We start from the raw sequence: 13,081 nt of genomic DNA on the forward strand, positions 1-13,081 counted from the left end.
ATTTTTTTTTGAAAGACTGGGCCTAAAGCAACATTCTCGGGTTATAACATATCTCCATTCACCCCATTTTTTATTTCTCAGAACAAAAGAAACATTTCTAAGATACTTTTACCATATTTGTATCCAAGCCAGATGTCAAAATGTAGCTGTCTCCTGTTTCTCAAAAAACACATAGCTCTTGTGCAAGCAAGTTCAGCGGAGAAAAACGAACAGGGAAGCCTGAAGTCATGTTTCCTGAAGTTCACTTGTTTTCTCTGGCCCCTGGCCCCAGTAGCTTCATCAGCACTCCTCTGTTGGCATCCATATGACATGGTTTTATAATGTCTTACTTGTGCTTTCAAATGCCAGGATTGCTGTGTTGCCCATCTCTTCTTTGGGGATTGAGAGTAGGCCTTCTGTTGTTTTTCATAATTCAGACAACAGTCAATACGGTACTTATCCCCATGTGTGCTCCATAGGCAGCTTTGACAGACATCCTGGCTCCTGCTGCCCAACTTGAGTGTTGGAAAGTGGTGAGGAAAGAACTATACAACTGGGGTTTCCCCGTGCCCTGTAGGCAGATATCTATTGCCCCTACCCTCTAGTCAATCTGGCCGACTTGTTTCCCAACTGAGCATGGCCTATACTCTCCCACGTCCACATTTTGATTATTTTAATTATGTTGCTTTGACTGCCCAGATGCCCTACCTCTGCCTCTACTCCTGCTTTTGAATATTTTATTGTCTTTCAAAGATGTCTCAAATGCTGCCACCCTGAGGCTTGCACATTCTTGCAAAATGTTGTCAGCTGTCTCTCTTATGAACATGATTCTTGATTTATAGTAATTGTTAGGTGACTTGCCACATTCCTCCTTGTAAATGCTTGCTTACTTATTTTCCTTATTGTTTGGCCACTCCACTAAAAGATACTAGCTGTATAACCTTGGACAAGTTATTTAACCCCATTGTGCCTTTTTTCGGTTCATTAAATGAGGATTAAAAATAGTAAACCTACCTCATAAAATTGTTTTAAAATTAAATGTTAACATAAGTACAGAACTTAGATCGGTGACTGGTAAATAGTAAATGTTATGTAAGTTATTGTTTTTATATTATTATTATGTATATCATATAAATTATACATATGGATGTGCATGTCTGTGTTTTCTAAGAGAAAATTAACTTATCCTTCCTTATATTCTCATTTGCCTAACCTACTCTCTGATATTGAGAAGATTCTGAGTAAATGTTTTTGAATAAGTAAGTTAAAAATTGAAGTCTGTGGCTGGGTGCCGTGGCTCACGCCTGTAATCCCAGCACTTTGGGAGGCTAAGGTGGGCAGATCACGAAGTCAGGAGATCGAGACCATCCTGGCTAACACGGTGAAACCCGTCTCTACTAAAAATACAAAAAATTAGCCAGGTGTGGTGGCGGGCGCCTGTAGTCCCAGCTACTCGGGAGGCTGAGGCAGGAGAATGGCGTGAACCCGGGAGGCAGAGCTTGCAGTGAGCAGAGATCCAGCCACTGCACTCCAGCCTGGGCGACAGAGTGAAACTCCATCTCAAAAACAAACAAACAAGCAAACAAAGAAACAAACAAAACAATTGAAGTCCTTTTACCAGTGCTGCCGTTCTCAAGAGATTGAGCTTTGCCTGAACAGAGTTGACATTGCTTTAGTTTGATTAATTTCTTTTTTTTTTTTTTTTTTGGGACGGAGTTTCACTTTTGTCAGCCAGGCTGGAGTGCAATGGCGCCATCTGGGCTCACTGCAGCTTCCGCCTCCCGGGTTCCAGCAACTCTCCTGCCTCAGCCTCCCAAGTAGCTGAGATTACAAGCAGCCACCACCACGCCCGGCTAATTTTTGTGTTTTTAGTAGAGACAGGGTTTCACCATGTTGGCCAGGCTGGTCTCGAACTCCTGAACTCAGGTGATCCATCCACTTTGGCCTCCCAAAGGCCTGGGATTACAGGCATGAGCCACCACACCTGGCAACTTTTTAGTGAGAAACAAATCATTATAAAACCAAAATGTCTACAAATACAGGGCATAATAATTACTTTTTTATTCATTCACTTAGTTTATCACTTAGTTCATGTTATTCATTCACTTAGTTAATAAATGCAAATTCCAGAAAAAGTAACTGAATCCTTACTTTACTGTTTTAATTACATGATTCATAACAATGTAAAATTGTTCAAATATCTAAACAGAATGTTAGTAGAGTATGATAAGAAACTAGATAACCCAGTGTTTCAATATTATGTTTATATGTGCAATTTTACCTTAAACAGTTTCAGAAGCACTTTCAAACAAACTAAATAGCATGAAATCCTCTCTTAGGAATTTTGTTTTTAATTTAAAGCAATTGTTTTAAACTTACACATATCTTACTATGAAATCATCCTTCCATCAAATGCCTCCACCTTACCTTCGGGAAATGAATAGCCTTCTACATTTGGAACAAGGAAAATTTCCCCAAAGGTATGTAAAGCTAAAGCTGAAGGAATACTGTAGTAGACAAATTTCTTCAAAGTTTGCTTAAGGCATTCACAGGAGTTGCTTCTAAATTAAAATAAATATCAGATACTCCCTGATTTCGATTTGACCAGTCCTGATTTCTTTTAGGCAATGTCTATGAAGATTAGAAATTATTTTCACAAGTGACCGAAATCTACCTAATAAATCACTTGAAGTTTTAAATGCTAACCTATCACTTCACAACAAGGAGGTATGCAATTCTCAGGGGCAGAATGAAGTCAGATGAGGCTCATTGTGCAGTACTGATAGAATATGAATAGCAACACCCTTCGCGCCTTGGGTAGGGCCTCACAAAATAAAATTTATTTCATTATTATAAGCTAAAAACTTTTGGATTTCTGGGATGAAGAAAAGGAAGTTTACCTTCCAACATGAGCTTATTAGTTTTATTGATTCCCTTCTATTTTGATCTTACGTCCCGATGTGGGGGGAAGTATGTTTCTTTAATAACAATATTGTTTCTTCTACCAGAAAAGTTTTCCATTTTATTTCACCTTAAATACACTGCAAATTTATATTTTAAGAGGTTCATTTTTTATCAACTTATCACATTTATTCTACTACAGATTTTCACTGGTTTGGGTTCATGAAATGTATTTCTTGTCTAGAAATAATTTTTAATAGGTCTGTATTTAGGTAAGATCTAAGTGTGTACCTCCTGCTGATAAACTCATCGAAGTTCAGTGAAACATAAAGGCCTTCTGATAACTGATATGAATGGAATCTGGCAAACTGAGAAGAGATGAATATGATGGCTTTTAATAAGGAAAATTATTCATGAAGGATATGTATGTATGTCTCCTAGTTTTCTTTATTTTTTTAAATGAGATACTTCTCTGCTTAATGATACATGCATTCTTACAAGTTAAATTTCATAATTTAAATGTAAAATTGTAAAAGGAAAAGAAATACTTAGGGTACTATGGTGTGTTGCATTGTATCAAATATAATATTGAATACCCTTATGAAGGTACATTTGTATACTTTTATCTATCTTGACTTACTCCACAGGAACAACCTGCACTGGATGTTACCTGCCCTCAAGTTGAAGCCGTCAGGCTAAAAATTGTATTTATTTTCCCACCATGTTTTCACTGAATTTACAATTCACATTTTCCGTTTTTAGGTCTTTTATGTTGTAAACACTTTGGTCAATAAAAAATAACTCTCTTAATTCTGTACTTGGAAGGGAGGGATTATTCCAGCCATATGAACACCTACTGGAAATAGATTTGCAACAATATAAACTTTAAGACTCTGTTTAATTTGTCAAATAACACTTATTTTCTGATAGTAATAATAGAAACTTAAAAGGTCTTTTGTTTCATTTGTCAAATAACACTTATCTAACAACAAAAGAGTATAATCTGTGTGGGAAATTGCTAGGTGTTCAAGTAGTATTATATGTTTGCTTCTAGCTTGGATTTCAGAAGTTGCTTGCTCCTCTGTGTTTAGATAAATGCAATGTCCAACAACTTGTGGTGATGACAATTCTAGTCTTTTATTACTCAGCTTGTTTTTGTTTGTTTGTTTGTTTTACCATTTGGTTTTCTTTGACCCGTAATCAAATTATCAAAGACTTGGAAGAAAGAACAAAAAAAAAATTGCCTCTTAGTTTTATAAATGTAAACCTGGGTTCCTGTTCACTAACTTCAATCTGCCAACCTGGAAACATGTAAATTCATTCATTATTTAGTTTCTATGTAGTTTTTTTCCAAATTAAAGCAACTTTTTGAACAATTATATTGAGGTATTCAAAGCAGCAAGATGATTTGTACTGTGGACATAGTGTTACTTTGCATTTCCTCTATAGACTTTTATTAACATGATTTTGAAACTAAAACTGATTTCAAGATTTTAGAATGCTCAAAAGCAAAGTTTTTTGCTACTATCTGGTACACCCCGTTGTTATAGGGATAGAAAACCTGAGTTAGGTTCTGAATGCAGCAATTATAGATTCGTGTATTGAGCCAAGTTCCTTAATCAATTATTCGCTATTCTCTTATATACTCTGTATCTCATCCATAGCCAACTTCTTTTTCCCTACTCTTGGTGCTCCTGGAATGAAACACCCTTCTGAGTCAGCACTGGTCCTCTCTTATATCATTTTATGCTGGGAGAAGGCCAGCTAGTTTTAATGTTAGCCTAAAGAAGTTCTTGTTATAATATCAACATTATAAAATCAAATATAAGCCATTTGGGAATTAAACCGCTTGTAGAATCATCTGAGAGTCTTCTGTCCCCAACCCTGCTGACATTCAGCTCTTAGAGTACCTTACATATCATAGTCTATAGGAATGGTGGCCCCAGGAGAATTTCCATTTATAGCCCTCCTTAATTTCTGCTAGTTCAAATGGTCCACTATTGACCCATCATCACATCTGTCAGGTGTGATTTCTCGCACCTGAAAATAGGGATTTTTTTTAAATCATAGTAAGCTATGAAAAGGAGGAGGTCTTTTTTTTTAATCTTTTGAAGATTTGGAGGTCTTTATTTTTAATCTTTATATTCCAATTTGAACACATCTGATCTTCACTCAACATTATAATTGAATATAAATTTTCACATAAACACAATTTGGTCATATTAAAAAATAGGGCAACATAAAAATTATTTTTTAACAAAACGACAATTTTAAGGCAGATAATAGAGATAATTTTCGAGTGTTTTCTATGTACAAAGTTCTGTGCTAAGCACTTGATAGGTCTTATTTAATTTTCACAAAAACCCTGCGAGATAAGGTACATTTATGGTCATTTTCACATCCAGAGAGGCCAAGAGAGAAGGATGTCCTTCAGTTCATGTAATTAATAAGGCAAAGAGTAAGAATTGAATCCAAGTCTGACAATATCCCTAATCTCAAACTCTTAACCTATACAACCTAAAGATGTTTAAATGGGATATTTAACAGCAATATCAGTTATGATTATCATCATTATCATAATTGAGATACGTCTAATACTCCACAACTAGAGTATAGTAAAAATTGTTGACTTCACTCTTCCTATCAAAATGTACATCTTCTCCCAAAATCCACCTGCTTCTTTGATTGGGTAACTTTGCTCTTTGCCATTTGCATATGGCCTGCTCAACTTTGCTTTTGCTTGCTCCATTCTCCTTACCAAGAAAACCCACATTGTTCCCTCCTCCACCAACTCATGTACTGTCTGTTCATCTGTTAGATAAATAAACATGCGTTAGCTATTGGAACCAGATTCAGAAATTATCTCTTAGATTCTACTCATCCTTCTAAACTCAGGCCTAATTATTCCAAGTAGAATTATTACAAGTTTACTCTCTATTGCACTATTTAGTCAAATGAGTCAAATTTAGTCAAAATTAAAGGACTATAATTTCTTCGTGGTTGTCACTTTGATTTTCCCAGCTAAATATTCAGCATCCTGGGAGTATTTCACATCTCTTGTATACCCCTGGAAACTTGCCTAGTATTATAGTATTATACACACAGGAAACATTTACAAGGTATTTTCGACTAATTTAGCAGTATTGGTGTTGTCATGCCTAAATATGTTAGATGGAATGTCTGAAGTACATACTAAGAATTTCCCAGGGCTCAGTTTTTGCATGTTTTGGTAAAGTTATCTACACCAGAAATTCACTCTTAATATCTTATTCAAGGTGTTTTATCTGAGTTCTGAATACCATTCTGAAATCAAGGAAGGCAAATTCAGGATGATTCTGTCTTTTAGCTTCAACCTTTGACTTATGTAATTATGTCATCTTTCTGACTATCTCTGACATTTTTCTATCTTTCTTGTTTTCTTTTTTGCTAAACCCCTTCTTTTTCCTATCTTCTCACCATCCAACTTCATTTATAAATGGTAGACATAACTATGTGGCTTTTGTTTGATTTTAGTGTATTGTTTAGGAGTGTCTGATACCCAATTAATTAGTTTGATTCCATGTCAGGCTTATTTAAATTTTTTTTAATTTTTATAAAGGAATATAGCAATATTTGAATAAATATAATTTATAGTTTGAAATTCAGTTTCTTCTATCTATGCTTTTTTTGGTATCTTTTTGACTTAATTTTGACTTTGTACTTTGTTATTCTGCAATTTAATTCTTACTGATCAAATTAATAGTTTACTTGGTCATCATACAACTAACTACCTTCTGCCCTTCTGCCTTCCAAGTTGGTAAATACCATGACTTCATAAAGAAATTGAAAGAGTCACCATTTTATAGTTACATCCCCACTCCAAATTTAATTTCAAATATTCCAGAAAGCAATGCAAAAAGACTTAAGATGTAGATTAAATTGACCTCAAACTTCTCATCAAATTGCATAGAAAATGTGATTTTAATCAGTGTCTTTATCTCTAAATAACAAAAGTTCTTTGGAGGAGTGTCCTGGAAAAGACGGTTGTAAACAATAGTACTGGTTACCAGACAGTGAGCTGAGCAGAAACTTACATGCCATGTTTGACCCCTTTCCTCCAGCCTTTGGCATCAAAGCTGTGAAAAATCGTGTTCATACTCTCTCCTGGTTATTTCTTATATTTGCATTCTCCAGTAAATATTTTCTTCCACTAATCCTCATTACCCTTTGCTTTGACTATCAATATAGCCCTTCTCCCTCTTACCCACTGTTACTAGAATTATTTTTCTAAAATACGGGCAGGAACATGCTACTTTCCACTTCTTAAGAAACAATTACATACACCAAAGTCGTTTGAACTTTATAAAATAAAACCTTAATGCACCAACATATCTTCACACTCAAATATATCCTTCCATGCAACCTAACCAAACCAACTAAAACCATCCACGAAGTATTCTTGCTGTTTTGTTCATGGTCCCCCATTGGCCGCTAATATTTCATCCTTTTCTTTGCAGATTAAAACTGAACATATTTTAAGACTCAGATTTAATATCATCTATTCTTTGAAATTGTCTATCCCACCCACTCAGTGGAAATGATTGCATGTTTCTATCTTATAGTATTTTGCAAGCATATGCATATTTTAAATGTATGTTTCATTTTGCCTAATCTATATTGTTTGTCTTCTCCACTAATTATAAAATATTGGAAGTTGGGGATCATGAAACCTTCATATGTGGGTATCCTGTATTTCCTGGTATAGTGTTTTGTGCATGTGACCTCCGGATATTATCACCTTCCATCTCCATAGCCCTTGCCTGTAATGAAGCACTCTCCAACATTTTTTATTCATTTTTGAAAAATCAAATCTGAAGCAAAATTGTCCTATACCCCCTCTTCACATTATGGCTCCTGAAAAGAAACTCTATACATGATGCATTGGATTCATCACCCTCGTTTAACTTTTTTAAGCTTCATCAATCCAGTATGAATTCACACAATTCCATTGTAATTTCCATCATCAGGGTCACCGGTGACTTGGACTGGAAGACCTGATTAACTATTTTCAGGACTTTGCTTTTTCACACTTGGTGATGCAGTTAACATTTGTGATTTACTTAAAACCTTCTCTCCTGATTTTTCTGACATATCTCCCTTCTGGTTTTTCCCTTTGCTTCCATAACTGTTTTCTTCTAATATCCTTTTCTGAATCCTAGAATCTAGACCTCAGAAAAGCCAGGAGCTAAAGACACGCCCACGAATAATAAGGTTAGAGATATAAATTAAGGGCAGCAGAGAGGATAAGATGACTCTTATCCACTGTGGATAAGAATGGATACAGGGAGAGTGCATTCTGTAAAAAGAAAGGAGGGACAAAGATGAAACCCAGGAAAAGCAAATTTATAAAGATAGTTGGCCAGTGCAGACCATAGACTACATTTAAAAACAACTTTTTCCTGGAAAAATATTCAAATTATTACAAGTTTTAGTGTGATACATTGTTTTAATATTATATCACTGTATGAAAAATAGAATAAACAAGTTGTTATCTACAGGTTATTTTCAGACTTGGGGTTCCATCATTTTAAACGAAGGTAGTTATCTTTTACATTTATAGTTACAGTCTTAACAAAGAACTGGATTTTAATTTTTCATTCCATTTTAGTGACAGAGATGGTCAGAGGCATTTGGCCCAATAAAGGTGCTGACACCTCACAGATACAGCCACAACTATGGTGGGCTTGAAACAAAGAGTATTAAAATAGGGCTAGAATATCTTTTAAAAGGACAGGTCCTCAAGCCTGATATTCATAACTGTAGTTAAAGCTGAATCATGGGCAAAGATTAAGGCCAAGAGCTTTCAGCACTGGGACCAGGGGTCCTATGGGTCACCACCACCAGAGGTCAGCTGGAATGTGGCCTCAGAGGGAGAGAGAAGCCTGGGGTGAGCACAGGTCAGAATGAGAGATGTGCCAGTCACAGAAGCCAACCCTCCATCGACATTTTGAAAGCTAACCATTTTCAATTCTGCCTTCCTAAGATTGAGAGACAAGGTCACAATATGCCTACTGCTTCTTTCTCCATTTCTACAAAGCAGGGGATCAAACCACAATTAGAAAATTGCATTTCCTGTTGTGCTGAATGAGACTTTGTTCACCTGATCACAATATCTTTTCATAACTTTAGTTTTCTATAATAAGATCCTGTCTGAAAAATAGTGTATGTATACTCAGGTTATTCTAATGAAATTTTAACCCATACAAAGAAAATTTCTACTTTTATTTTCCTTGAGTTTAACAGCTTTATTTCTATTTTATTCCTTTTCATTCCTCTCTCAACTGTGGATGGAGTTCCTCCTTAATTTTACACTCAGCATTTCAATTCCTGTAATATAAAAAGAAACTTTCATGGGAAATTATATGAATGTGCTTTTAGGTCATATCCATAGATAGCCTAAGGAAAAACATTAAAAGATGTAATTAGAACTAAGACATTACTCTCCTATAATGTGCCCTTCAAGTTTTGTTTTTGAAAATGTGTTTTCTGTTATTTATGGTTTTAGTATAACATTGATCATTACTTTTAATATTTAGTAAGAATAATATATATTTTTCTATTCAAATATTATCTCTAATTCTTCAGCCTAGTACATTTATTTGGGGTAATACATAGAATGTTACAAGGTCAACTTGTCACTCTTCAAACATATATTTGTCTTCATATTCTCATCCCATGGGCTTCAATGTGCTTTATAAAAGCTGGTAAAAATCACTCATAACCAACACTGTGGAAAGTTGTGCAAGAGTTGGGGCAATTACAATATCTTCAGAATCTCATAAAATGATTTGGAAACCAACTGCCATGTGAAGATTGTTTTTATTCACTTCCTCGAAATCAGAATATTATGATCAATTTGTACAGGACCAGATGTCAAAGCCATGTGGAACTTCATATACCTCAGTCAACAAGATATTCTCTTTTTAATTTATCTTTGATAATGAATGATTTTAATTTATTACATTAAACATTCTGTGCTACAAGGACTATCTGTGGGTTGAAATATTACATTAAGCATGTTCAGCTAATAGATTCTGTCATTTAATCTTAATCTTTCATTTAGAGAAGTGAGAATCAATGTGTGTGTCAAGATAATTTTTTAATCCAATCTCCAAACCCAAAAGCAAATGAATAAAACTTTTGCTCTGATCATCTATTTCTTTTCTTTCTTTCTTTCCTTTTTTTTTTTTTTTTGAGACAGAGTCTCGCTCTGTCGGCCAGGCTGGAGTGCAGTGGTGCGATCTCGGCTCACTGCAACCTCTGCCTCCGGGCTCAAGCAATTCTCCTGCCTCAGCCTCCCGAGTAGCTGGGATTACACAGGTGTGCCACCATGCCCAACTAATTTTTGTATTTTTAGTAGAGACAGAGTTTCACCATGTTGGCCAGGCTGGTCTTGAACTCCTGACCTCAGGTAATCCACCATGCCTGGCCTGCTCTGATCATCTGTTTCTTAATTCTCTATTTCACCTCTAAGGACTGAGTTTGTTGTTGTGAAATAAATAAAATATTGTATTCTAATAATTTTTTATTTATCTTCCTCTTCCAATAAAAATGTGATTATTTTTAAAATGGGAAATATATCTCTTTTTCTATTTTCAATTTACTTTCCCCAATAGTTAACAGAGTATTTAGCAGATAGTAGGCCTACAAAAATATTTGACGAATGAATGAATAAAAGAAACATGCTTGCTTAAAAGTAGGCGTATAGCTTAGATGAAGGAAGATCAAATATGCAGATTACATTTATTGAGCAGTTACTATGTGGTAGATGTGATATGTGTCTTGCTTACATTATTCTGATTTAATTCTCCCATCAAACTGATGACATAGATATTACTATCCACATTTTGCAGGATATAATATTGAGGCTTAGAGTTAAGTGTCTGGCCTAATGTCACACAGCTAATATATGATAGAGCTGCGATTTGTACTTAAATTGACTCCAAAGTCTATGTTCTGTCTACTCCATCACACAGCCAAGGATTAAAATGATTAGATGTCAGAATGTCTTCAGACTCATCTTTGAAGCCATCATTGATTTTATTGAAGAATCATTAATATATTATTAGATCTGGCATGTTTTTCAAAATAAATATGATTGTAAGTGTAGGGAACCTAAGTAAGAAGCATTGGTTTTTTAGCATAAATATTTCTACAGAGCATTTTATTCTGGAGAAAACAATTACTCCCTGCATAGTCTGATTATATAAAATATCAATTGTACATAATATTTATGAAAGTTTTCAAATCAACCTAGACTTTTTTCTTAATTTAGAGGCAGATTCTTTTGAGACATTATTGGGTTCAGGGTATTTGGCTTTTTGTACAAATGTCATATGGCTTCAGTTATGACACAAAAACAATTCCATTAGGTTTCAGCCTCAGTACATACACATCCATCCACATACTTGCCTAATGTCAGTTTATTAATTCACAGTGATTTTGAGCTCATAATGCCCAAGCTTGTGAATAATATATAGGAATTTTTGCATAATTCTCAAAATCTTTGTAAACCATTGCTACTAATAAATTAGTAAAAAAAAATCCTTGAAGTGGTTTTGGGAGTACTATGGGTTTTCAAAATATATTTTTGACCTACCTTATGAAATATATAGGTGAAGCTAATTGGAAACAAAGATTAGCTATATTAAACAATGATTTTAATACCAAAGCATACAAATATCAATCAAAATGTCAAACCTCCTACTAAAACTACACAATTTTTCATATTAGAATTTAGTGGAGTCCATCAAAGGGAAAATATAATTGAAATATAAAATGAGTTATTGCATCAGGCTCAGTAAAAAATACTGAAAATATTTCATTTTCAAAATTCCATGGGAAATTAGGGACTGTTTTGCTTCTCTGGATGACATTAGTGTTTAAAAAAAAATTAATGAGTTCCATTGGGCTCTCTTTGGCCAAAGTGGGTGATAAACTTAATTGATGAAGTCAAAATGCAGGTGAAATACCTTTGCATATCAAAGCTACTATAAATTTCAAAATGCTTTAATATGGATGCTTCTAATTTTTGAAGGGACATTTCAAATGCAGAACAAATGGCCTAAATTATTTCAATTAATTTTTTAAGAACAGAAACGTAAGTCATTTGAATAATCCCTTGGAGTTCCTGGTAACAAAACACATCCTATGTGAAATCCAGTCAATCTCCATCCCTTTCCCTAGATGCTTTTGCACAAATAGAACCATCACTAGTATTAGCTTTCTCTCTGAGCACCAGTATGCACCACAACTGTAAACTCCATGTCTCTTTAGAGATTATAAACAAAGACTAGCAATTCTGGAGATAAGAGGTTTCTGTCATTTCTCAGTTAATTCTGCCTTTGAAGTACATATAGTGGAACTGTTTTCAGAAAGACAAATAAAGAGAAGTACCCTTACTGGATTTATTTCTTTTTTGTAAAGATGGAGAATAAACCACTTTATAATTTCATTGTCTTTCACTGTATTACAGTAATTGTAATTAAGAATATCTTTTGAACTGTAAAAGATATAGAATGTTCAAAAGGAAGAAAAGCTCATAGTTTTCAAGAGAAATAGTTGTGTTCAATTTTATTCAGAACTTCTTTATTACACTTAAACTTAACGATTATTGCCTCCTTTGCATCTTAAAGCTATTTCAATAGGTTTTATTTTTAAAGCAATTCATTGTTTATTATAAATGTACTATTTCCCTCGTTATACTTTTAGTACTATGTGCCATTGAGCATTTATAGATGGCACAAATATATTATCCAAGATCTGTAATATAATATTTAAATAAAAACAAAAACTATTTCTTATTTGCACAGGCATCCAGTGCATATTTATTAAGATTAATGCATATTATTAAAAATTACATTTTTTTCAGATCCAAGAAATTGACATAAATAATGAGCAAGAAAATGATTATGAAGAGGATATTGCCTCATTTTCCACATATATTCCTTGTAAGTTTTTCCATGTTATATATATATATGACATATTCATATATATATCACATATATATGTGACTTATGGAAGATGTAACTGAAAAAGCAAGACTGAAGAGAATGTGGCACGGTATTTAATTAACTGATTGGCTTTTAATTTGTAATAGAGACACTACTACATCATATTCCTAATTTAAATACTTTTAATAAGTTCAAGTTTTAAAAATCAA

General features: G+C 34.1%; 1 protein-coding gene across 3 annotated transcripts in view; it reads left to right on the plus strand.

Moving 5' to 3' along the window:
• BANK1 (B cell scaffold protein with ankyrin repeats 1) overlaps positions 1-13,081 on the plus strand; it is a 284,083-nt gene that overhangs the window by 217,994 nt on the left and 53,008 nt on the right. For all 3 annotated transcript variants that reach the window (NM_017935.5, NM_001127507.3, NM_001083907.3), the window contains one exon: positions 12,791-12,869. In NM_017935.5, coding sequence (NP_060405.5) covers positions 12,791-12,869 — 79 coding nt within the window. The remainder of the gene's footprint in view (positions 1-12,790; positions 12,870-13,081) is intronic.

Source organism: Homo sapiens, chromosome 4 (genome assembly GCF_000001405.40).
Source record: "Homo sapiens chromosome 4, GRCh38.p14 Primary Assembly".
NCBI classification, from domain to species: domain Eukaryota; kingdom Metazoa; phylum Chordata; class Mammalia; order Primates; family Hominidae; genus Homo; species Homo sapiens.